General features: G+C 42.4%; 1 protein-coding gene and 1 pseudogene across 7 annotated transcripts in view; both read right to left on the bottom strand.

The window, feature by feature from the left end:
* DHRS4L1 (dehydrogenase/reductase 4 like 1 (pseudogene)) overlaps nucleotides 1-22,382 on the bottom strand; it is a 44,294-nt pseudogene extending 21,912 nt beyond the window's left edge. For all 3 annotated transcript variants that reach the window (NR_171045.1, NR_102688.2, NR_102687.2), the window contains exon 1: nucleotides 22,005-22,382. The product of NR_171045.1 is annotated as a dehydrogenase/reductase 4 like 1 (pseudogene), transcript variant 1 (transcript). The remainder of the gene's footprint in view (nucleotides 1-22,004) is intronic.
* DHRS4L2 (dehydrogenase/reductase 4 like 2) overlaps nucleotides 23,058-26,916 on the bottom strand; it is a 36,535-nt gene continuing 32,676 nt past the window's right edge. For 3 of the 4 annotated variants that reach the window (NM_001193636.1, NM_001193637.1, NM_001193635.1), the window contains 2 exons: nucleotides 25,074-25,129; nucleotides 23,058-23,580 (listed from right to left, as the gene is read on the bottom strand). In NM_001193636.1, the coding sequence (NP_001180565.1) occupies nucleotides 25,096-25,129 (34 nt within the window). In that variant the 3' untranslated portion in view covers nucleotides 23,058-23,580; nucleotides 25,074-25,095. The remainder of the gene's footprint in view (nucleotides 23,581-25,073; nucleotides 25,130-26,916) is intronic. The other variant, NM_198083.4, reaches the window with a different exon arrangement.

Raw genomic sequence — 26,916 nt, 5'->3', positions numbered from 1 at the left:
TTTCCCCATTTCTTGTTTTTGTCAGGTTTGTCAAAGATCAGATGGTTGTAGATATGCAGCATTATTTCTGAGGGCTCTGTTCTGTTCCATTGGTCTATATTTCTGTTTTGGTACCAGTACCATGCTGTTTTTGTTACTGTAGCCTTGTAGTATAGTTTGAAGTCAGGTAGTGTGATGCCTCCAGCTTTGTTCTTTTGGCTTAGGGTTGACTTGGCAATGTGGGCTCTTTTTTGGTTCCATATGAACTTTAAAGTAGTTTTTTCCAATTCTGCGAAGAAAGTCATTGGTAGCTTGATGGGGATGGCATTGAATCTATAAATTACCTTGGGCAGTATGGCCATTTTCAAGATATTGATTCTTCCTACCCATGAGCATGGAGTGTTCTTCCATTTGTTTGTATCCTCTTTTATTTCATTGAGCAGTGGTCTGTAGTTCTCCTTGAAGAGGTCCTTCACGTCCCTTGTAAGTTGGATTCCCAGGTATTTTATTCTCTTTGAAGCAATTGTGAATTGGAGTTCACTCATGATTTGGCTGTCTGTCTGTTATTTGTGTGTAAGAATGCTTGTGATTTTTGCACATTGATTTGGTATCCTGAGACTTTGCTGAAGTTGCTTATCAGCTTGAGGAGATTTTGGGCTGAGACGATGGGGTTTTCTAGATATACAACCATGTCATCTGCAAACAGGGACAATTTGAATTCCTCTTTTCCTAATTGAATACCCTTTATTTCCTTCTCCTGCCTGATTGCCCTGGCCAGAACTTCCAACACTATGTTGAATAGGAGTGGTGAGAGAGGGCATCCCTGTCTTGTGCCAGTTTTCAAAGGGAATGCTTCCAGTTTTTGCACATTCAGTATGATATTGGCTGTGGGTTTGTCATAGATAGCTCTTATTATTTTGAGATACATCCCATCAATACCTAATTTATGGAGAGTTTTTAGCATGAAGGGCTGTTGAATTTTGTCAAAGGCCTTTTCTGCATCTATTGAGATAATCACATGGTTTTTGTTGTTGGTTCTGTTTATATGCTGGATTATGTTTATTGATTTGCGTATGTTGAACCAGCGTTGCATCCCAGGAATGAAGCCCACTTGATCATGGTGGATAAGCTTTTTGATGTGCTGCTGGATTCGGTTTGCCAGTATTTTATTGAGGATTTTTGCATCGATGTTCATCAGGGATATTGGTCTAAAATTCTCTTTTTCTGTTGTTTCTCTGCCAGGCTTTGGTATCAGGATGATGCTGGCTTCATAAAATGAGTTGGGGAGGATTCCCTCTTTTTTATTGATTGGAATAGTTTCGGAAGGAATGGTGCCAGTTCCTCCTTGTACCTCTGGTAGAATTCGGTTGTGAATCCATCTGGTCCTGGCCTTTTTTTGGTTGGTAAGTTATTAACTATTGCCTCAATTTCAGAGCCTGTTATTGGTCTATTCAGAGAATCAACTTCTTCCTGGTTTAGTTTTGGGAGGGTGTATGTGTCGAGGAATGTATCCATTTCTTCTAGATTTTCTAGTTTATTTGCGTAGAGGTGTTTATAGCATTCCCTGATGGTAGTTTGTATTTCTGTGGGATCGGTGGTGATATCCCCTTTATCATTTTTTATTGCATCTATTTGATTCTTCTCTCTTTTCTTCTTTATTAGTCTTGCTAGTGGTCTATCAATTTTGTTGATCTTTTCAAAACACCAGCTCCTGGATTCACTGATTTTTTGAAGGGTTTTTTGTGTCTCTATTTCCTTCAGTTCTGCTCTGATCTTACTTATTTCTTGCCTTCTGCTAACTTTTGATTGTGTTTGCTCTTGCTTCTCTAGTTCCTTTAATTGTGATGTTAAGGTGTGAATTTTAGATCTTTCCTGCTTTCTCTTGTGGGCATTTAGTGCTATAAATTTCCCTCTACACACTGCTTTGAATGTGTCCCAGAGATTCTGGTATGTTGTGTCTTTGTTCTCATTGGTTTCAAAGAACAACTTTATTCTGCCTTCATTTTGTTATGTACCCAGTAGTCATTCAGGAGCAAGTTGTTCATTTTCCATGTAGTTGAGTGGTTTTGAGGGAGTTTCTTAATCCTTAGTGCTAGTTTGATTGCACTGTGGTCTGAGAGACAGTTTGTTGTGATTTCTGTTCTTTTACATTTGCTGAGGAGTGCTTTACTTCCAACTATGTGGTCAATTTTGCAATAAGTGCAGTGTGGTGCTGAGAAGAATGTATATTCTGTTGATTTGGGGTGGAGAGTTCTGTAGATGTCTATTAGGTCCACTTGGTGCAGAGCTGAGTTCAATTCCTGGATATCCTTGTTAATTTTCTGTCTCATTGATCTGTCTAATATTGACAGTGGGATATTAAAGTCTCCCATTATTATTGTGTGGGGAGTCTAAGTCTCTTTGTAGGTCTCTAAGGACTTGCTTTATGAATCTGGGTGCTCCTGTATTGGGTGCATATATATTTAGGATAGTTAGCTCTTCTTATTGAATTGATCCCTTTACCATTATGTAATGGCCTACTTTGTCTCTTTTGATCTTTGTTGGTTTAAAGTCTGTTTTATCAGAGACTAGGAATGCAACCCCTGCCTTTTTTTCTTTTCCATTTGCTTGGTAGATCTTCCTCCAGCCCTTTATTTTGACCCAATGTGTGTCTCTGCACGTGAGATGGGTTTCCTGAATACAGCACACTGATGGGTCTTGACTCTTTATCCAATTTGCCAGTCTGTGTCTTTTAATTGGAGCATTTAGCCCATTTACATTTAAGGTTAATATTGTTATGTGTGAATTTGATCTTGTCATTATGATGTTAGCTGGTTATTTTGCTCCTTAGTTGATGCAGCTTCTCCCTAGCATTGATGATCTTTACAATTTGGCATGTTTTTGCAGTGGCTGGTACCGGTTGTTCCTTTCCATTTTTAGTGCTTCCTTCAGGGGCTCTTTTAGGGCAGGCCTGGTGGTGACAAAATCTCTCGGCATTTGCTTGTCTGTAAAGTATTTTATTTCTCCTTCACTTATGAAGCTTGGTTTGGCTGGATATGAAATTCTGGGTTGAAAATTATTTTCTTTAAGAATGTTGAATATTGGCCCCCACTCTCTTCTGGCTTGTAGAGTTCCTGCTGAGAGATCAGCTGTTAGTCTGATGGGCTTCCCCTTGTGGGTAACCTGACTTTTCTCTCTGGCTGCCCTTAACATTTTTTCCTTCATTTCAACTTTGGTGAATCTGACAATTATGTGTCTAGGTCTTTGAGGAATGGCCACACTGTCTTCCACAACGGTTGAACTAATTTACACTCCCACCAACAGTGTAAAAGTGTTCCTATTTCTCCACATCCTCTCCAGCATCTGTTGTTTCCTGACATTTTAATGATTGCCATTCTAACTGGTGTGAGATGGTATCTCATTGTGGTTTTGATTTGCATGTCTCTAATGAGCAGTGATGATGAGCTTTTTTTCATGTTTGTTGGCTGCATTAATGTTTTCTTTTGAGAAGTGTCTGTTCACATCCTTACCCCACTTTTTGATGGGGTTGTTTGTGTTTTTTCTTGTAAATTTGTTTAAGTTCTTTGTAGATTTTGGATATTAGCCCTTTGTCAGATGGATAGATTGCAATAATTTTCTTCCATTCTGTAGGTTGCCTGTTCACTCTGACGATAGTCTTTTTTGCTGTGCTGAAGCTCTTTAGTTTAATCAGGTCCAATTTGTCTATTTGGACTTCGTTGCCATTGCTTTTGGTGTTTTAGTTATGAAGTCTTTGCCCATACCCGTGTCCTGAATGGTATGGCCTAGGTTTTCTTCTAGGGTTTTTATGGTTTTAGGTCTTATAATTAAGTCTTTAATCCATCTTAATTAAATCCAACTTAATTTAATACAACATAATAAAATTGAGTTAATTTTTGTATAAGGTGTAAGGAAGGGGTCCAGTTTCAGTTTTCTGCCTATGGCTAGCCAGCTTTCCCAACATCATTTATTAAATAGGGAATCCTTTCCCCATTGCTTGTTTTTGTCAGGTTTGTCAAAAATCTGATGGTTGTAGGTGTGCGGTGTTATTTCTGCAGCCTCTGTTCCATTCCATTGGTCTAGATATCTGTTTGGTACTAGTACCATGCTGTCTTGGTTACTGTAGCCTTGCAGTATAGTTTGAAGTCAGGTAGCGTGATGCCTCCAGCTGTGTTCTTTTTGCTTTGGATTGTCTTGGCTATATGTAGGGAAAAGGAAGAGAGATCAGACTGTTACTGTGTCTATGCAGAAAAGGAAGACATAAGAAACTCCATTTTGACCTGTACCCTGAACTATTGCTTTGCCCTGAGATGCTGTTAATCTGTAACTTTAGCCCCAACCTTGAGCTCACAGAAACATGTGTTGTATGAAATCAAGGTTTAAGGGATCTAGGGCTGTGCAGGATGTGCCTTGTTAACAAAATGTTTACAGGCAGTATGCTTGGTAAAAGTCACCATCATTCTCCAGTCTCAATAAATCAGGGGCACAATGCACTGTGGAAAGCCGCAGGGACCTCTGCCCTGCAACGCTGGGTATTGTCCAAGGTTTCTCCCCATGTGATAGTCTGAAATATGGCCTCGTGGGATGGGAAAGACCTGACCGTCCCCCAGCCCAACATCCATGAAGGGTCTGTGCTGAGGAGGATTAATAAAAGAGGGAGGCCTCTTGCAGTTGAGATAGAGGAAGGCCACTGTCTCCTGCCTGCCCCTGGGAACTGAGTGTCTTGGTATAAAACACGATTGTACATTTGTTCAATTCTGAGTTAGGAGAACAACCGCCCTGTGGCGGGAGGCGAGACATGTTGGCAGCAATGCTGCCTTGTTATTCTTTACTCCACTGAGATGTTTGGGTGGAGAGAAGCATAAATCTGGCCTACATGCACATCCAGGCATAGTACCTTCCCTTGAACTTATTTGTGACACAGATTCCTTTGCCACGTTTTCTTGCTGACCTTCTCCCCACTATCACCCTGCTCTTCTGCCGCATTCCTCTTGCTGAGATAGTAAAAATAGTAATTAACAAAGGCTGAGGGAACTCAGAGACTGGTGCCAGTGTGGGTCCTCTGTATGCTGAGTGCCAGTCCCCTGGGCCCACTTTTCTTTCTCTATACTTTGTGTCTTATTTCTTTCCTCAGTCTCTCATCCTGCCTGACAAGAAATACCCACAGGTGTGGAGGGGCTGGCCCCCTTCAGCTATATGGGCTCTTTTTTTGGTTCCATATGAAATTTAAAGTACTTTTTTTCCAATTTTGTGAAGAAAGTAATTGGCAGCTTGATGGGGATAGCATTGAATCCGTAAATTACCTTGGGCAGTATGGCCATTTTCATGATATTGATTCTTCCTATCCATGAGCATGGACTGTTTTTCTGTTTGTTTGTGTCCTCACTTATTTCCTTGAGCAGTGGTTTGTAGTTCTCCTTGAAGAGGTCCTTCATGTCCCTTGCAAATTGGATTCCTAGGTATTTTATTCTCTTTGTAGCAGTTGCAAATGGGAGTTCACTCATGATTTGGCTCTCTGTCTATTATTGGCATATAGGAATGCTTCTGATTTTTGCACATTGATTTTGTATCCTGAGACTTTGCTGAAGTTGCTTATCAGCTTAAGGAGACTTTGGGCTGAGATGATGGCATTTTCTAAATACACAATCATGTCATCTGCAAACAGAGACAATTTGACTTCCTCTTTTCCTAATTGAATACCCTTTATTTTTTCCTCTTGCCTGAGTGCCCTGGCTAGAAAACTTCCAATACTATGTTGAATAGGAGTGGTGAGATAATGCATCCTTGTCTTGTGCCGATTTTCAAAGGGAATGCATCCAGCCGATTTTCAAAGGGAATGCATCCAGCTTTTGCCCATTCAGTATGATATTGGCTGTGGGTCTGTCATAAATAACTCTTACTATTTTGAGATACGTTCCATCAGTACCTAGTTTATTGAGAGTTTTTAGCATGAAAGGCTGTTGAATTTTGTCAAAGGTCTTTTCTGCATCTATTGAGATAATCATGTGGTTTTTTTCATTGGTTCTGTTTATGTGATGGACTATGTTTATTGATTTGCTTATGTTGAACCAGCCTTGTATCCCAGGAATAAAGCTAACTTGATCATGGTGGATAAGCTTTTTGATGTGTTGCTGGATTCAGTTTGCCAGTATTTTATTGAGGATTTTCTCAATGATGTTCATCAGGGATACTGGCCTGAAATTTTCTTTCTTTTGTTGTGTCTCTGCCAGCTTTTGGTATCAGGATGATGCTGGCCTCATAAAATGAGTTAGGGAGGAGTTCCTGTTTTTCTGGTGTTTGGAATAATTTCAGAAGGAATGGTACCAGCTCCTCTTTGTACCTCTGGTAGAATTCAGCTGTGAATCCGTCTGGTCCTGAGCTTTTTTTTGTTTGATAGGCCATGCATTACTGCTTCAATTTCAGAACTTGTTATTGGTCTATTTAGGGATTTGAATTCTTCCTGATTTAGTCTTGGGAGGGTGTATTCGTCCAGGAATTTATCTATTTCTTCCAGATTTTCTAGTTTATTTGCATAGAGTAGTTTATAGTATTCTCTGATGGTAGCTTGTATTTCTGTGGGATCAGTGGTGATATCCCCTCCATCATTTTTTATTGCACCTATTTGATTCTTCTCTCTTTTCTTCTTTATTGGTCTAGCTAGCAGTCTATCTATTTTGTTGATCTTATCAAAAAACCAGCTCCTGGATTCACTGGTTTTTTTGAAGGTTCTTTCCTGTCTCTGTCTCCTTCAGTTCTGCTCTGATCTTAGTTATTTCTTGTCTTCTCCTGGCTTTTGAATATGTTTGCTCTTGCTTTTCTAGTTCTTTTAATTGTGATGTTAGGGTGTTGGTTTTATATCTTTCCTGCTTTCTCCTGTGGGCATTTAGTGCTATAAATTTCACTCTAAACACTGCTTTGGCTGTGTCCCAGGGATTCTGGTACATAGTGTCTTTGTTCTCCCTGGTTTCAAAGAAGTTATTTATTTCTACTATAATTTCATTATATACCCAATAGTCATTCAGGAGCAGGTTGTTCAGTTTCCATGTAGTTGTGTGGTTTTGAGTGAGTTTCTTAATCTGAGTTCTAATCTGATTGCACTGCAGCCCGAGAGACTGTTTGTTATGATTTCCATTCTTTTGCATTTGCTGAGGAGGGTTTTACTTCCAATTATGTGATCAATTTTAGAATAAGTGCGATGTGGTGCTGAGAAGAATGTATATTCTGTTGACTTGGGGTGGAGAGTTCTGTAGATGTCTATTAGGTCTGCCTAGTCTAGAGCTGAGTTCAAGTCCTGGATATCCTTGTTAATTTTCTGTCTCATTGATCTGTCTAATACTGACAGTGGGGTGTTGGGGTGTTAACGTCTCCCATTGCTATTGTGTGGGAGTCTAAGTCTCTTTGTAGGTCTCTAAGCACTTGCTTTATGAATCTGGGTGCTCCTGTATTGGGTACATATATATTTAGGATAGTTAGCTCTTCTTGTTGAATTGATCCCTTTACCATTATGTGATGGCCTACTTTGTCTCTTTTGATCTTTGTTGGTTTAAAGTCTGTTTTATCGGAGACCAGGATTGCAACCCCTGCTTTTTTTTGCTTTGCATTTGCTTGGTAAATATTCCTCCATCCCTTTATTTTGAGCCTATGTGTGTCTTGGCACATGAGACGGGTCTCTTGAATACAGCACAATGATGGGTCTTGACTCTTTATCCAATTTGCCAGTCTGTGTCTTTTACTTGGGGCACTTAGCCTGTTTACATTTAAGGTTAATATTGTTATGTGTGAATTTGATCCTGTCATTATGATGCTAGCTGATTATTTTGCCCATTAGTTGACGCAGTTTCTTCATAGTGTCAATAGTCTTGACAATTTGGTATGGTTTTGCAGTGGCTGGTACTGGTTGATCCTTTCCATGTTTAGTGCTTCCTTCAGGAGCTCTTGTACATCAGGCCTGGTGGTGACAAAATCTCTCAGCATTTGCTTGTCTGTAAAGGATTTTATTTCTCCTTCACTTGTGAAGCTTAGTTTGGCTTCATAACCATTCCTCATGGCGCAGTCCTTCACAGCTTCCCTTGGCTAGGGGAGGGGGTCCTCTGACCCCTTGTGCTTCCTGAGTGAGGTGATGGCCACCCTGATTCAGCTGGCTCTTCATGGGCTGCACCCACTGTCTCACCAGTCCCAGTGAGTTGAGCCAGGTACCTCAGTTGGAAATGCAGAAATCACCTGCCTTCTGCGTTGATCTCGCTGGGAGCTGCAGACTGGAGCTGTTCCTATTTGGTCATCTTGTCAGCCACCCTTTTTATTTTTTAAAATACATTCTTGGCTAATGAGTGGTACATAATAGACCTACTTTATTCTCTCTCTTCTTTTATAAAATAGCTGTACAGTATTCTATTGTGTGGCTATTCCATAATTTATTTAGCTAGTCTCCTACTGATGGATATTTAAGTAGCTTCCAGTGTTTTGCTATTTCAAACAATGCTATGGTGAACAACATTGGATGAATATGTATTTTTGTGTGTTTGGTACAAATACATTTGTACGCTGGGCCAAAGTTTTAAATTGATGGCTATGACGGTCAAATTACCTTAAAAAAGATTTGTCAACCTAAAATAATAAAAGGGTGAGAATTGAATTTAAGGAGTGTTTATTGAAGTGCAAAGTGTGAGGATGGACCATCTGGAAACATCAAATCCAAAGGAATGCAGTCAGCATTCTGCAGTAGAGAAGTTATGGTTTCAATTATATATGCAGAGAGAGAAGAGTGTTTAGCAAAATTATAACATTATTCGTACAAGGTTGGCACATAGTTACAGCCATTTGATAGGTTAAACGCAGTGTTTCTTTTTGGGAAGGATACATTTAACATGTTTTTTAGAGGGTGTAGTAATTGTGGGTTTTTGTCATCTGGTCTAAGCAAAGCAGGACAACAATAGGAAATTAATATACAATAAGGGTCATTAATTAAGAAGGCCAGAGGTTTTTTTCCATGATGTCATTTAATTCTCTCTAGTCATTGTACAGAAGAAGAAAAATAAGAAAGCTAGTTAATCTATAATTTGAGAACAGAAGTTATAACCACATACGACTCAGATCACAGTCACGTCTCAAGGCTTAAAGTGATTTTGGGGGTTCCCACAGCTTTTAAATTTTATTTATTTTCACAGATTTAAGCAGTTTTGATGAATTTTTCCCCCTAAAGTGAATTTACCTGCTGCTGTACTCCCTTATGCATAGTATATAGAATGGCTTAAACTTTGGTGGTGGCTTAAGCTCAGTGGTAAAATGGTACCACACTTTAGGTCGCAGTGGCCAACTTGCAGAACTGCAACTTGCAGATCTGAGGCACACCCAGTTCCACTCATGTTTGTCATTGAGAATGCTGGCTCAGCACTGCCAGCCCTTGGGATATTTAAACAGAAGCTAGAAATCCGGATGGTAATAGGAAATATTTAAATTTTAAATGTTGGCCAATTATTTACTTAAAAAAGAACCCAGAAAAGAAAACAGTGAATGGATCTGTAGGTGCCAGAGGCTGACTGATATAGCCTATTTAAATGGAATGAATTATTAATTTTGTGAGATATTGCTCTATCTAGAATTTCATTTTTTATTATTATACTTTAAGTTCTAGGGCACATGTGCACAACGTGCAGGTTTTTTACATAGGTATACGTGTATCAGGTTGGTTTGCTGGATCCATCAACTCGTCATTTACATTAGGTATTTCTCCTAATGCTATCCCTCCCCCAGCCCCCCAGCCTCTAACAGACCCTGGTGTATGATGATCCCCTCTCTGTTTCCATGTGGTCTGCTTGTTCCACTTCCACCTATGAGTGAGAACATGCGGTGTTTGGTTTTCTGTCCTTGTGATATTTTGCTGAAAGTGATGATTTCCAGCTTCATCCATGTTCCTGCAAAGGACATGAACTCATCCTTTTTTATGGCTGCATAGTATTCCATGGTATACATGTGCCACATTTTCTTTATCCAGTCTATCATTGATGGGCATTTGGGTTGGTTCCAAGTTTTTGCTATTGTGAACAGTGCTGCAATAAACATATGTGTATATGTGTCTTTATAGTAGAATGATTTATGATCCTTTGGGTAGATATCCAGTAATGGGGTTGCTGGATCAATTGGTATTTCTGGTTCTAGATCCTTGAGGAATGGCCACAGTGTCTTCCACAATGGTTGAACTAATTTACACTCCCACCAACAGTCTAAAAGCCTTCCTATTTCTCCACATCCTCTCCAGCTTCTGTTATTTCCTGACTTCTTAATGTTGCCATTCCAAGTGTCATGAGATGGTATCTCATTGTGGTTTTTCTTTGCATTTCTCTGATGACCAGTGATGATGAGCATTTATTCATATGTCTGTTGGCTGTGTAAATGTCTTCTTTTGAGAAGTTTCTGTTCATACTTTTTACTCACTTTTTGATGGGGTTATTTGTTTTTTTTTTTCTTGTAATTTGTTTAAGTTCTTTGTATTCTGGATATTAGCCCTTTGTCAGATGGATAGATTGCAAGAATTTTCTCCTATTCTGTAAGTTGCCTTCTCACTCTGATGATAGTTTCTTTTGCTGTGCAGAAGCTCTTTAGTTTAGGTAGATCCCATTAGTCTATTTTGGCTTTTGTTGCCATTACTTTTGGTGTTTTTATCATGAAGTCTTTGCCCATGCCTATGTCCTGAATGGTACTGTCTAGGTTTTCTTCTAGGGTTTTTATGGTTTTAGGTCTTACATTTAAGGCTTTAATCCATCTTGAGTTAATTTTAGTATAAGGTGTAAGGAACGCATGCAGTTTCAGCTTTCTACATATGGCTAGCTAGTTTTCCCAGCACCATTTATTAAATAGGGAATCCTTTCCCCATTGCTTGTTTCTGTCAGATTTGTCAAAGATCAGATGGTTGAAGATGTGTGGTGTTATTTCTGAGGCCTCTGTTCTGTTCCATTGGTCTAGATATCTGTTTTGGTACCAGTACCATGCTGTTTTGGTTACTGTAGCCTTGCAGTATAGTTTGAAGTCAGGTAGTGTGATGCCTCCAGCTTTGTTCTTTTTGCTTATGATTGTCTTGGCTATACCAGCTCTTTTTTGGTTCCATATGAAATTTAAAGTAGTTTTTTCCAATTCTGTGAGGAAAGTCAGTGGTAGCTTGATGGGGATAGCATTGAGTCTATAATTTACTTTGGGCAATATGGCCATTTTCATGATATTGAGTCTTCCTATCCATGAGCATGGAATACTCTTCCATTTGTTTGTGTCCTCACTTATTTCCTTGAGCAGTGGTTTGTAGTTTTCCTTGAAGAGGTCCTTCACATCCCTTGTAAGTTGGATTTCTAGGTATTTTATTCTCTTTGTAGCAATTGTGAATGGGACTTCACTCATGATTTGGCTCTCTGTCTATTATTGGCATACAGGAATGCTTGTGATTTTTGCACATTGATTTTGTATCCTGAGACTTTGCTGAAGTTGCTTATCAGCTTAAGGAGATTTTGGGCTGAGATCATGGGGTTTCTAAATATACGGTGAAATCATCTGCAAACAGAGACAATTTGACTTCCTCTTTTCCTAATTGAATACCCTTTATTTCTTCCTCTTGCCTGATTGCCTTGGCCAGAACTTCCAATACTATGTTGAATAGGAGTGGTGAGATAGGGCATCCTTGTCTTGTACCAGTTTTCAAAGGGAATGCTTCCAGTTTTTGCACATTCAGTATGATATTGGCTATGGGTTTGTCATAAATAGCTCTTATTATTTTGAGTTACATTCCATGAATACCAAGTTTATGGAGAGTTTTTAGCATGAAGGGGTGTTTAATTTTGTTCGAAGGCCTTTCTGCATCTATTGAGATAATCATGTGGTGTTTGTCGGTTCTGTTTGTGTGATGGATTATGTTTGTTGATTTGCTTATGCTGAACCAGGTTTGCATCCCAGGGATGAAGCCACCTTGATCGTGGTGGATAAGCTTTTTGATGTGCCGCTGGATTCGGTTTGCCAGTATTTTATTGAGCATTTTTGCATTGATGTTCATCAGGGATACTGGCCTAAAATTTTCTTTGTTTTGTTGTGTCTCTGCCAAGCTTTGATATCCGGATGATTCTGGCATTATAAAATGAGTTAGGGAGGATTCTTTCTTTTTCTATTGATCGGTATAGTTTCAGAAGGAATGGTACCAACTCCTCTTTGTACCTCTGGTAGAATTCGGCTATGAATCCATCTGGTCCTGGACTTTTTTTGGTTTAGTAGGCTATTAATTATTGCCTCAATTTCAGAAGCTGTTATTGGTCTATTCAGCAATTCAGCTTCTTCCTGATTTAGTCTGGGGAAGGTATATGTGTCCAATAATTTATCCAATTCTTCTAGGTTTTCTAGTTTATTTGCATAGAGGTGTTTATAGTATTCTCTGATGGTAGTGTGTATTTCTGCGGGATCACTGGTGATATCACCTTTATCATTTTTTATTGTGTCTATTTGACTCTTCTCTCTTTTCTTCCTTATTAGTCTTGCTAGCAGTCCATTTTGTTGATCTTTTCAAAAATCCAGCTCCTGGATTCATTGATCCTTTGAAGGTTTTTTTTTTAATGCCTCTATTTCCTTCAGTTCTGCTCTGATCATCGTTATTTGCTGTCTTCTGCTAGCTTTTGAATTTGTTTGCTCTTGCTTCTCTAGTTCTTTTAATTTTGAGGTTAGGGTGTTGATTTTAGATCTTTCCTCCTTTCTCTTGTGGGTATTCAGTGCTGTAAATATCCATTTACACACTGTTTTAAATGTGTCCCAGAAATTCTGGTACACTGTGTCTTTGTTCTCATTGGTTTCAATGACCATGTTTATTTCTGCCTTCATTTTGTTATTTACCCAGTAGTCATTCAGGAGCAGGTTGTTCAGTTTCCATGTAGTTGTGCAGTTTTGAGTGAGTTTCTCAGTCCTGAGTTCTAATTTGATTGCACTGTGGTCTGGGAGACAGTTTGTTGTGATTGCTGTTCTTTGGCATTTGCTGAGGAGTGTTTTACTTCCAATTATGTGGTCAATTTTAGAATAAGTGTGATGTGGTGCTGAGAAGAATGTATATTGTGTTGACTTGGGGTGGAGAGTTCTGTAGATGTGTATTAGGCCTACTTGGTCTAGAGCTGAGTTCAAGTCCTGGACATCCTTATTAATTTTGTCATGTTTTCTGTCTAATATTAACAGTGGGGTGTTACTGTCTCCCATTACTATTGTATGGGAGTCTAAGCCTCTTTGTAGGTCTCTAAGAACTTGCTTTATGAATCTGGGTTCTCCTGTATTGGGTGCATATATATTTAGGATAGTTAGCTCTTCCTGTTGAACTGATTCCTTTACCATTATGTGATGGCCTTCTTTGTCTCCTTTTATCTTTGTTGGTTTAATGTCTGTTTTATCAGAGACCAGGATTGCAATCCCTGCTTTTCTTTGCTTTCCATTTGTTTGGTAGATCTTCCTCCATCCCTTTGAGAGGTGGCAGCGTGCTGGCAGCCCTCGCTCGCTCTCGGCGCCTCCTTGGCCTTGGCACCCACTCTGGCCATGCTTGAGGAGCCCTTCAGCCCATGCTGCACTGTGGGAGCCCCTTTCTGGGCTGGCCAAGACCAGAGCTGGCTCCCTCAGCTTGCAGGGAGGTGTGGAGGGAGAAGCATGGGCAGGAACTGGGGCTGTGCACAGTGCTTGCAGGCCAGCGCTAGTTCTGGGTGGGTGTGGGCTCAGTGGCACAGTGTACTGTGGAAAGCTACAGGGACCTCTGCCCTTGAAAGCGGGGTATTGTCCAAGGTTTCTCCCCATGTGATAGTCTGAAATATGGCCTCATGGGATGAGAAAGACCTGACCGTCCCCCAGCCTGACACCCATAAAGGGTCTGTGCTGAGGTGGATTAGTAAAAGAGGAAAGCATCTTGCAGTTGAGATAGAGGAAGGCCACTGTCTCCTGCCTGTCCCTGGGAACTAAATGTCTCAGTATAAATCCCGATTGTACATTTGTTCAGTTCTGAGATGAGAGAAAAACCGCCCTATGGTGGGAGGCGAGACATGTTTGCAGCAATGCTGCCTTGTTATTCTTTACTCCACTGAGATGTTTGGGTGGAGAGAAACATAAATCTGGCTTACATGCACGTCCAGTCATAGTACCTTCCCTTGAACTTAATTATGACGTAGATTCTATTCCTCACATGATTGTTGCTGACCTTCTCCTTATAATCACCCTGCCCTCCTACTACATTCCTTTTTACTGAAATGATGACAATAATAATCAATAAAAACTGAGGGAACTCAGAGACCGGTGCTGGTGCAGGTCCTTGGTATGCTGAGCGCCGGTCCCCTCGGCCCACTGTTGTTTCTCTATACTTTGTCTCTGTGTCTTATTTCTCTTTCTCAGTCTCTCATCCCACCTGACTAGAAATACCCACAGGTGTGGAGGGGCAGGCCACCCCTTCATCTGGCATCCAACATGGGGCCTTTCTCTAGGGTGAAAGTACGCTAAGTGAGTATTGAGGACAGCCAACAAGAGATTCCCGAGTACATCCACGGTCAGCCTTGCGGTAAGCTTGTGCACTTGGAGGAATCCAGGGTAACAATGGGGCAAACTGGAAGTAAATATGCCTCTTATCTCAGCTTCATTAAAATTCTCTTAAGACAGGGAGTTTAAGCTTCTACAGAGAATCTAATTATGCTATTTCAAACAATAGAACAATTCTGCCCATGGTTTCCAGAACAGGGAACTTTAGATTTAAAAGACTGGGGAAAAATTAGCAAAGAATTAAAACAAGCAAGTAGGGAAGGTAAAATCATCCCACTTACAGCATGGAATGATTGGGCTATTATTAAAGCAACTTGAGAACTATTTCAAATAGAAGAAGATAGCATTTCAGTTTCTGATGCCCCTGAAAGCTGTGTAATAGTTTGTGAAGAAGAGGTAGGAAGACAGTTCAAGAATGGAACAGAAAGTTCACATTGTAAAAATGTAGTAGAGTCTGCAATGGTTCGGTCAACACAAAATGTTGACTATAATCAATTACAGGAGGTAATATATCCTAAATCATCAAAATTGGAGGAAGGAGGTCCAGAATTATTTGGTCCATCAGAGTTTAGACCACGATGGCCAACAACTCCTTCTCCCACGGTTCAGATGCCTGTGACATTACAACCTCAAATGCCAATCCAGACACAGTATCCACAATATCAGCCGGTAGAAAATAAAACCCAACCATCAGTAGTTTATGAACACCAGCCATCAGCCGAATTTCAGTATCGGCCGTCTCCAGTGGTTCAGTATAGATCCCAGGTGTTGTGTCCTGTGCCAAATAGCAGGGCAGTATAGCAACAACCCATGGCGATGGTGTTTGATCCTACACTACCACCTAGTGGACAAGATAGTGCACTGCAAAAAATCATTGATAAAGCCAGAAAACAGGGAGATCTTGAGGCAGGGCAGTTCCTGGTAATTTTACAACCAATACCGGCTGGAAAACGGAGTCAAGCAGGAGCGTCTGTCCAAACTGAGGCTAGATATGAATCTTTCACCATGAAAATGTTAAAAGATATGAAGGAGGCAGTTAAACAATATGGACCCAACTCTCCTTATATGAGAACATTATTAGATTCCATTGCTAATGGGAATAGACTTATTCCTTATGATTGGGAAATTTTGGCTAAATCTTCTCTTTCACCCTCTCAGTATCTACAATTTAAAACCTGGTGGATTGACGGAGTACAAGAACAGGTATGGAAAAATCAGGCTACTAATCCTGTTGTTAATATAGATGCAGACCAATTGCCAGAAACAGGTCCAAATTGGAGCACTATTAACCAACAATCAGTAATGCAGAATGAGGCTATTGAACAATTAAGGGCTATTTGCCTCAGGGTCTGGGAAAAGATTCAGGACCCAGGAACCTCCTGCCCTTCTTTTAGTTCAATCAGACAAGGCTCTAAAGAGCCATATCCAGACTTTGTGGCAAGGTTGCAAGATGCAGCTCAAAAATCGATTGCAGATGATAACGCCCAAAAAGTTGTTGTAGAAATAATGGGTTATCAAAATGCAAATCCAGGATGTCAATTGGCCATAAAGCCATTAAGAGGAAAGGTTTCAGCAGGAGTTGATGTAATTACAGAATATGTGAAGGCTTGTGATGGGATTGGAGGAACTATGCATAAGGCAATGCTACTGGCTCAAGCAATTACGGGGGTTGCTTTAGGAGGACAAGTTAAAACATTTGGGGGAAAATGTTATAATTGTGGTCAAATCGGTCATCTAAAAAAGAATTGCCCAGTCTTAAATAAACAGAACAAAAATAAACAGCCACCTGGCCTGTGTCCAAAATGTGAAAGAGGAAAACACTGGGCTAAGGAATGTTGTTCTAAATTTGATAAAAATGGGCAACCATTGTCAGGAAACGAGAAGAGGGACCAGCCCCAGGCCCCGCAACAAAGTGGGGCATTCTTGATTCAGCCATTTGTTCCTCAGGGTTTTCAGGGACAACAACCCCCACAGTAAATACCACCATTCCAGGGAATCAGCCAATTACAACAATACAACAGTTATCCCCCACCACAGCAGGCAGCGCAGCAGTAGATTTATGTTCTACTCAAATGGTTTCTTCACTCCCTGGAGTGCTCCCTCAAAAGATTCCTACTGGGGTGTATGGCCTGCTGCCAGAAGGGATGGTAGGCCTTATTTTAGGAAGATCAAGTCTAAATTTAAAGGGAGTCCAAATTCATACTGGGGTAATTGATTCAGATTATAAAGGGGAAATTCAGTTAGTGATCAGCTCTGCTGTTCCCTGGAGTGCCAATCCAGGTGATAGAATTGCTCAATTATTGCTTTTGCCTTATATTAAAATTGGGAATAGCAAAACAGAAAGAACAGGAGGGTTTGGAAGTACCAACCCTGCTGGAAAAGTTGTTTATTGGGCTAGTCAGCTCTCAGAGAATAGACCTGTGTGTACAGTCACTATTCAGGGAAAGCAGTTTGAAGGATTAGTGGCTACTGGGGCTGATGTTTCTATTATTGTCTTAAATCAATGGCCAAAAAATTGTCCTAAACAAAAGCCTGTTACAGGATTTGTTGGTGTGGGCACCGCCTCAGAAGTGTATCAAAGTGCCATGATTTTACATTGTCTAGGCCCTAATAATCAAGAGAGTACAGTTCAGCCTATGATTATTTCTATTCCAATTAACTTATGGGGCCGAGACTTGTTAGAACAGTGGCATGCAGAGATTACTATTCCAGTCTCCCTATACAGCCCCACGAGTCAAAAAATCATGACTAAAATGGGATATCTCTCTGGTAAAGGACTAGGGAAAAATGGAGAAGGCATTAAAGTCCCAATTGAGGCTAAAAAAATCCAAAAAAAAAAAAAAAAAAGAAATAGGGTATCCTTTTTAGGAGTGGCCACTGTAGAGCCTCCAAAACCCATTCCATTAACTGGGAAAACAGAAAAGCCTGTATGGGTAAATCAGTGGCCACTACCAAAGCAAAAACTGGAGGCCTTACACTTAGTGGCAAAGGAACAATTAGAAAAGGGAAACATTGAGCCTTCATTTTCACCTTGGCATTCTCCTGCGTTTGTAATTCAGAAAAAATCAGGCAGATGGTGCATCCTAACTGATTTGAGAGCCATCAATGCAGTAATTCAACCCATGGGGACTCTCCAACTTGGGCTGCTTTCTCCGGCCATGATCCCCAAAGATTGGCCTTTAATTATAATTGAGCTAAAGGATTGCGTTTTTACCATTCCTCTGGCAAAATAGGATTTAAAAAAATTTGCTTTTACTATACCAGCCATAAATAATAAAAAACCAGCCACCAGATTTCAGCGGAAAGTGTTGCCTCAGGGAATGCTTAATAGTCCAACTATTTGTCAGACTTTTGTAGCTCAAGTTCTTCAACCAGTTAGAGACAAGTTTTCAGACTGTTATATTATTCATTATGTTGATGATATTTTGAGTGCTGCAGAAACGAGAGACAAATTAATTGACTGTTACACATTTCTGCAGACAGAGGTTGCAAACGCAGGCCTGACAATAGCATCTGATAACATTCAGACCTCCACTCCTTTTCATTATTTGGGAAAGACCAACAGAGAAAAAAGAGAAACTGGGAAAGAAAGGAAGAGAGAAAGTGAGAAGAGAAATCAGAAAGAGAAAGGAGAGAAAACGGCAGATGTGGAGAGCCAGGGAGAAAAAGAAAAAGAAAAAGAGACTGAGTGTGAAGGAGAGAGGACACGGGATGACAGACAGAGAGAGAGAGAGAGAGAGAGAAAGAGAGGGAGAAAATGAGTAAGAGAGAGACTGGAAAAGACAGAGATCAGAGAAAGACACAGAAGGTGAGACTGGGGAAAAAAATAATGTAAAAGAGAAAGACAGAGATCAGAGAGAGACACAGAAAGTGAGACTGGGAAAAGAAATAGTGTAAAAGGAAGAAAAAGAGAAAAAGAGAGAGAGACCATAAGAGAAGGGAGACAATGAAACAAAAAGTGCGAGTGAGCAGGTGAGGAGAAAGATTGAAAACTATGAGAAACAACAACTAAGAGACAAAGGAGAAGGGAGACTGCCTGGGTGCCGGAGCACCCACACTGTCCTCTTGCCCCCATCACTTGGGTTAAAACCATTGGAAATTCCACTATTGCAAATTTTGTATTAATCCTTGTATGTCTGCCCTCTCTATTGTTAGTCTACAGGTGTATCCAGCAGTTCCAGAAAGACAGTGACCAGCAAAAACAGGCCATGGTGACAATGACAGTTTTGTCAAAAAGAAAAGGGGGATATGTAGGGAAAAGAAAGAGAGATCAGACTGTTACCGTGTCTATGTAGAAAGGGAAGACATAAGAGACTACATTTTGAAAAAGACCTGTACTTTAAATAATTGCTTTTCTGAGATGTTGTTAATTTTTAGCTTTGCCCCAGCCACTTTGACCCAACCACTTTGACCCAACCTGGAGCTCACAAGAACATGTGTTGTATGAAATCAAGGTTTAAGGGATCTAGGACTGTGTAGGACGTGCCTTGTTAACAAAATGTTTACAAGCAGTATACTTGGTAAAAGTCATCGCCATTCTCTAGTCTCAATAAACCAGGGGCACAGTGCACTGCAGAAAGCCGCAGGGACCTCTGCCCTTGAAAGCAGGGTATTGTCCAAGGTTTCTCCCCATGTGATAGTCTGAAATATGGCCTCCTGGGATGAGAAAGACCTGACTGTCCCCCAGCCCGACACCCATAAAGGGTCTGTGCTGCGGTGGGTTAGTAAAAAAGGAAGGCCTCTTGCAGTTGAGATAGAGGAAGGCCACTGTCTCCTGCCTGCTCCTGGGAACTAAAAGTCTCGGTATAAATCCCGATTGTACATTTGTTCAGTTCTGAGATGAGAGAAAAACCGCCCTATGGTGGGAGGCGAGACATGTTTGCAGCAATGCTGCCTCGTTATTCTTTACTCCACCGAGATGTTTGGGTGGAGAGAAACATAAATCTGGCTTACGTGCATGTCCAGTCATAGTACCTTCCCTTGAACTGAATTATTAGATTCTATTGCTCACGTTTGTTGCTGACCTTCTCCTTATTATCACCCTGCCCTCCTACTACATTCCTTTTTACTGAAATAATGACGATAATAATCAATAAAAACTGAGGGAACTCAGAGACCGGTGCCGGTGCAAGTCCTTGGTATGCTGAGCGCCGGTCCCCTGGGCTCACTGTTGTTTCTCTATACTTTGTCTCTGTGTCTTATTTCTCTTTCTCAGTCTCTCGTCCCACCTGACTAGAAATACCCACAGGTGTGGAGGGGCAAGCCACCCCTTCAAACAGTAGCAACCTGCTTGGGTCCCCTTCCACACTGTGGAAGCTTTGTTCTTTCGCTCTTTGCAATAAATCTTGCTGCCCCTCACTCTTTGGGTCCACACGGCCTTTATGAGCTGTAACACTCATCGTGAAGGTCTGCAGCTTCACTCCTGAGGCCAGTGAGGCCACGAACCCAGTGGGAGGAATGAACAACTCCGGATGGGAGGAACGAACAACTCCAGACATGCCGCCTTAAGAGCTGTAACACTCACTGTGAAGGTCCGCAGCTTCACTCCTGAAGCCAGCGAGACCACGAACCCACCAGAAGGAAAAAACTCTGAACGTGTCTGAACATCAGAAGGAACAAACTCCGGACACGCTGCCTTTAAGGACTGTAACACTCACTGCGAGGGTCCGTGGCTTCATTCTTGAAGTCAGTGAGACCAAGAACCCACCAATTCCAGACACACCTTCATTTTGAGCCTATGTGTGTCTTTGCACGTGAGATTGGGTCTCCTGAATACAGCACACCATATGGGTCTTGATTCTTTATCCAATTTGCCAGTCAGTGTCTTTTAATTGGGGCATTTATCCCATTTACATTGAAGGTTAGTATTGTTATATGTGAATTTGATCCTGTCATGACGTTAGCTGGTTATTTTGCCCATTAATTGATGCAGTTTCTTCATAGCATCAATGGTCTTTACAATTTCGTATGTTTTTGCAGTGGCTGGTACTGGTTGTTCCTTTCCATGTTTAGTGCTTCCTTCAGGAGCTCTTATTGTAAGGCAGGCCTGGTGGTGACAAACTCTCTCAGCATCTGCTTGTCTGTAAAGGATTTTATTTCTCCTTCACTTACGAAGCTTAGTTTGGCTGGATATGAAATTCTAGTTCCAAAAATCTTTTCTTTCAGAATGTTGAATATTGGTCCCGACTCTCTTCTGGTTTGTATGGTTTCTGCTGAGAGATCTGCTGTTAGTCTGATGGGCTTCCCTTTGTTGGTAACCCAACCTTTCTCTCTGGCTGCCCTTAACCTTGCTGAATCTGACAATTATGTGTCTTGGGGTTGCTCTTCTCAAGGAGTGTCTTTGTGATGTTCTCTGTATTTCCTGAATTTGAATGTTTCTTTTTTCTTTTCTTGTCTCTAATCTTGTGTTCTCACTTTATTTCATTAATTTTATATTCAATCACTGATATCCTTTCTTCCACTTGATTGAATCAGCTATTGAAGCTTGTGTATCCTTCATGAAGTTCTTGTACTGTGGTTATCAGCTCCATCAGGTCATTTAAGCTCTTCTCTAGATTCTTCATTCTAGTTAGCCATTCGTTTAACATTTTGTCAAGGTTTTTAGCTTCCTTGCAATGGGTTAGAACATGCTCCTTTAGCTGGGTGTAGTTTGTTATTACTGACCTTCTGAAGCTTACGTCTGTCAAGTCATCAAACTTATTCTCCATCCAGTTTTGTTCCCTTGCTGGTGAGGACTTGTATTCCTTTGGAAGAGAAGAGACGTTCTGATTTCTGGAAGTTTCAGCCTTTTTGCTCTGGTTTCTCTCCATCTTTGTGGTTTTATCTACCTTTGGTCTTTGATGTTGGTGACCTATGGATGGGGTTTTAGTGTGGATGTCCTTTCCTGTTCTGATGTTGATGCTGTCCTTTGCTGATGTTGATGCTATTCCTTTCTGTTTGTTAGTTTTCCTTCTAACAGGCCCCTCAGCTGCAGGTCTTTGGGGGTTTGCTGGAAGTCCATTCCAGACCTTATTTTCTTGGGTATCAGTAGAGGAGGCTGCAGAACAGCAAATATTGCTGCCTGATCCTTCTTCTGGAAGCTTTGTTCCACAGGGGCACCCACCTGTATGAGGTGTCTCTCTGCCCCTACTGGGCGGTGTTTTTCAGTCAAGCTACATGGGGGTCAGGGACCCACTTGGGGAGGCAGTCTGTCCGTTATCGGAGCACGAACTCCGTGCTGGGAGAACCACTGCTGTCTTTAGAGATGTCAGGCAAGGACACTGAAGTCTGCAGAAGCTGTCTGCTGCCTTTTGCTCAGATATGCCCTGGCCCCTGAGGTGGAATCTGGAGAGGCAGTAGGCCTTGCTGAGCTGCGGTGGGTTCCGCCCAGTTAGAGCTTCCCTGCAGCTTTGTTTACACTGTGATCATAGAACGCCTACTGAAGCCTTAGCAATGGAGGACTTCCCTCCCCCACGGCCCCGTTAATTGATGCAGTTTCCGCACCCCCCCCACGGCCCTCTCCACCCTACCTGTCAAGCTCCAGCTCCAGCGGAGGATGCTCCAGGGACAGCGATGTCAGGACTGAGATGCAGGGGCTGCCTTAGAGTCTGGATGCATGGGGTAGCGGGGTGTGAGGCACCGGGCCGGGGTGCAGGGCCGGAAGGAACGTGCTGGATCTGGGATGCTACCAGACGGGGCGTCCCAAAGACCGAGGCAGTCCCGTACCTTACAACTCTCAGATGAGCTCCACGGTGGGCTTGGCCACCGTGACCCCTACTGCCGAGGCTGCTGCAGAGGAGCCGCCGCCACCCACACCGCTGTGGAGCAGCCGCACATGCTAGACTCCGCTTCAGTAAAGCCCGGGCGGTGAGTGCCGCCGCAGAGGCGAGCCCGCTCCAGACAGTGGCGGTTGCGTGAGCGCCCCTCCCCCCACCGGGCTTTGGAGCGCGGGCTCCCACGCCGGCCCGGAGAGCTGCCCGACTGAGCATGCGCGTCGCGCTGCCGAGCCTCCTGAGAGCCCGCGGGCTGGCGCCGACCTTTCTTGCCGGCTCCGGCGTGAGAGGCCCGTCGGTGTGAGAGGCTCAGCGTGTGTCGCCCAGTGTCAGTGCCTTTGGGGCGGGGGACAGCGTCCCCACTTTCCTTCTACTGAATCCTCGGGCCCGTGGGCAGAACCCATTTCTTTTGTTTGTGGGCCTGGGTACCTTGCAGGGCCTTTCTCTATTCCCCACCGGCTCAGGACCCATCCAGCTTGTACTTGCTGACTCGGGAGGGAACTCGGGACGTAGGGCCATGCGGGGAGAGGACCTGGCCTGATCTGGGAGGCAAGGGGCGGGGAGGTGTTAGAGAGTTCATCCTTCCCCACTCTCTCCGGGCTCGCGCTGCCTCGGGGATTCCCGTGGCGTCCTGGGAGTTCCCGTGCCACCTTCCTTCCAGCTGGCAGCTCTGCAGACACCTCCACCCGTGAACATCACGCTCAAGTTCTGGAGACAGGGAGGAGGGCTGGGGGATCCAGAGATCCAGCCTGAATAGACTTCTGCTCTCTGCTCAGCTAAGCACCCAACACTGAGAAATGAACAGGTCAATTGGATTCAAAGCCGCGCAATCATCTGCATTTTATTTGCACCTCATTTGCAAGTTGTTAATTTGCAACTCTGCTCCTTCCACTCCAGGTTCCTTCTCTCCCATCACCCCTCAGATTCCCCAGTGGCCCAGGAAAAAATATCTTGGTCTTTGCCAAGGTAGACTCAGCCTTGTCAGCAGGCCTGTCCTGTGTTCTCAGGGGAGGCCTTTACCCAAGGCCACAACAACAGCAGGAATCCCGAGTAAGACGCCACCTTGACGGCAGGGAAGGCTGGATCTTTTCACAGGGCAGAACTGATTTGATGAGGTGAACAGTAAGGTGAGCAGAGGTGGGAAAGGCCAGTGGGTGAATGCAGGAACAGCACCAGGAGCTAGAGCCCAACTCTGGCCTGTGGGCTGTCTCCCGGTCCTCAGAGGCGGGACGGGGTTCCTCCACCCACCACCACTGTTTCCCCAGTGATGTAGCTGGCATCTTCAGAGCACAGGAAAGACACGATGCCAGCACAATCCTCTGGCTCGCCTAACCTGGGGAATAAGGGAAGCAAGGAAGGAGGTAAAAATCAAACGGGTCTGCCTCCCTCACCTGGGACACGGGGAGTTAAATTTGCTTAATCAAGAATTATCAGATGACTTTTCAGGATCAGTGTACAAGCTTTCTGCCTATCAAATAGGGTTACCACGAGGATATGCTGTTATAATTTAGTATAAGCATACTGTACTCTGCAAAACTATTACCCATAATATTCAAATACTATAGAAACACACCGGTTTTTAGAGAGCTCAGGACACCAAAATCCAAAGTTATATAGATAAAATGGTGAGCAATTAATTATTTCATACTTCAAAAAAATGGTTTCACATGTGCACACACTAAAGTATCAGGGAGTCTGTGTGACAGTAAATGGTGTGTTTAAAATGATTCCATTTGTACAGGTTCAGCTTAGAACTTTTTCAGGAATCTATACTTGTGCCTTAAAGTCATGTTCATTTAGTGAGAATGTGCTAATTCTTATTTTATCAGTGACTGCATAGTTAGGAGACACTTTAATCTCCCTGCCATAGAATGCTCTAGAGGTGGGCAGAGTGAGTAACTCAAACCTAGAAGGGCTGAATTAATGCTTCTCCATTCTACTTGTATCTTGCAATCATTTGAGAGGCTTAAACCAAAAAAGAAAAGAAAAGAAAAGACAAAGAAAAACAAAAGCCCAGATGGTCAAGTCCTACCTTGGACCAATTAAAAAGAATCTCTGGGAGTGGGTGGGGCCTGAGCACCTGCAGTTTAAAAAGCTCCCCAGGTGATTCTAATGTGAATCCAGTATTGAGCTACATGGGCTAGATCATTCATTGGTGCTCTAGGTTGACAATCCCCTCACTTATTAATGAGTTATGAACCAGGCCTGCAGCTCATGTCTCACATCAGAATGGCTTTGGGAAGATTTGGGATGTCTGGACGAGTACAGAGTTAGGCATTACTGGCATTTGTCCTTGAAGCCAGAAGGTAGAGAGAGGCAGGGAACTTAGAGGAAAGGGAGCCCGACAAAGGTGCTTGAACAGTTCACCCAGCTCACTGGGGAAGAAAGTAACTCCTTAGGCAAGGGGAGTTTGGGGCTTAGTAAAACTCTTCATTCTTTTCATTTGGATTGTAGATCATCAACCTGAGTTTTGTAAACATGTGTCATTATTCAAGGGGACTAACAAAGCATGGTTTTGGTTATGGTCCCTGGTCTCCATGGATGCTCAGAGGTGGAGGCAATCCCCCAGGTGGAGAGAGGACTCAGGGCTTCTCCGAGACCTCTGCACTGCTGAAACCCCGATGTCTCTGTGTTTACCTTTGGAAAGGGAAGCTGACTTCTTGCTCAGGTCACTGTAGTGATAGTGTTTATGAATTCGTGGTCTGTGAGGCAGAAGAGAGCCTGCCTGTGTTATCTGTGGGACTGAGACAGCGGGCTGTGGGCTGCTAGGGACCAGACCTTCCCATCTTCATGTCTCTTAGTGCCCTTGCCCTCATGACAGTTTACCTTCTTATCCGCAGGGTTTCTTTCATGCTTTCCTCTTTTTCCTTGTCCATCCAGAGCTGTAGGAAGAAGGGAAATCTCTTTATGTTTTTTTTTCTTTTCCTTTCTTTTTTTTTTTTTTTTTTTAGAGACGGAGTCTTGCTCTTTTGCCCAGGCCGGACTGTAGTGGCGCTATCTTGGCTCACTGCAAACTCCGCCTCCCGGGTTATGCCATTCTCCTGCCTCAGCCTCCCGAGTAGCTGGGATTACAGGCGCCCGCCACTGCGCCCGGCTAATTTTTTGTATTTTTAGTAGAGACGGGGTTTCACCGTGTTAGCCAAGATGGTCTCGACCTCCTGACCTCGTGATCTGCCCGCCTCGGCCTCCCAATGTGCTGGGATTACAGGCATGAGCCACCCCACCCAGAAATCTCTTTATGTTTAAGAAGAGGAATCAATTAGGAAAAGAGGAAGTCAAATTGTCCCTGTTTGCAGACGACATGATTGTTTATCTAGAAAACCCCATCGTCTCAGCCCAAAATCTCCTTAAGCTGATAAGCAACTTCAGCAAAGTCTCAGGATACAAAATCAATGTACAAAAATCACAAGCATTCTTATACACCAACAACAGACAAACAGAGAGCCAAATCATGAGTGAACTCCCATTCACAATTGCTTCAAAGAGAATAAAATACCTAGGAATCCAACTTACAAGGGATGTGAAGGACCTCTTCAAGGAGAACTACAAACCACTGCTCAAGGAAATAAAAGAGGACACAAACAAATGGAAGAACATTCCATGCTCATGGGTAGGAAGAATCAATATCGTGAAAATGGCCATACTGCCCAAGGTAATTTACAGATTCAATGCCATCCCCATCAAGCTACCAATGACTTTCTTCACAGAATTGGAAAAAACTACTTTAAAGTTCATATGGAACCAAAAAAGAGCCCGCATCGCCAAGTCAATCCTAAGCCAAAAGAACAAAGCTGGAGGCATCACACTACCTGACTTCAAACTATACTACAAGGCTACAGTAACCAAAACAGCATGGTACTGGTACCAAAACAGAGATATAGATCAATGGAACAGAACAGAACCCTCAGAAATAATGCCGCATATCCACAACTATCTGATCTTTGACAAACCTGAGAAAAACAAGCAATGGGGAAAGGATTCCCTATTTAATAAATGGTGCTGGGAAAACTGGCTAGCCATATGTAGAAAGCTGAAACTGGATCCCTTCCTTACACCTTATACAAAAATCAATTCAAGATGGATTAAAGATTTAAACGTTAGACCTAAAACCATAAAAACCCTAGAAGAAAACCTAGGCATTACCATTCAGGACATAGGCGTGGGCAAGGACTTCATGTCCAAAACACCAAAAGCAATGGCAACAAAAGCCAAAATTGACAAATGGGATCTAATTAAACTAAAGAGCTTCTGCACCGCAAAAGAAACTACCATCAGAGTGAACAGGCAACCTACAACATGGGAGAAAATTTTCGCAACCTACTCATCTGACAAAGGGCTAATATCCAGAATCTACAATGAACTCAAACAAATTTACAAGAAAAAAACAAACAACCCCATCAAAAAGTGGGCGAAGGACATGAACAGACACTTCTCAAAAGAAGACATTTATGCAGCCAAAAAATACATGAAAAAATGCTCATCATCACTGGCCATCAGAGAAATGCAAATCAAAACCACTATGAGATATCATCTCACACCAGTTAGAATGGCGATCATTAAAAAGTCAGGAAACAACAGGTGCTGGAGAGGATGTGGAGAAATAGGAACACTTTTACACTGTTGGTGGGACTGTAAACTAGTTCAACCATTGTGGAAGTCAGTGTGGCGA

The sequence above is a fragment of the Homo sapiens genome, chromosome 14 (genome assembly GCF_000001405.40).
Source record: "Homo sapiens chromosome 14, GRCh38.p14 Primary Assembly".
NCBI classification, from domain to species: Eukaryota; Metazoa; Chordata; class Mammalia; order Primates; family Hominidae; genus Homo; species Homo sapiens.
Note: the sequence above shows the minus strand (reverse complement) of the source record. Positions and strands in the feature narration are given on the sequence as shown.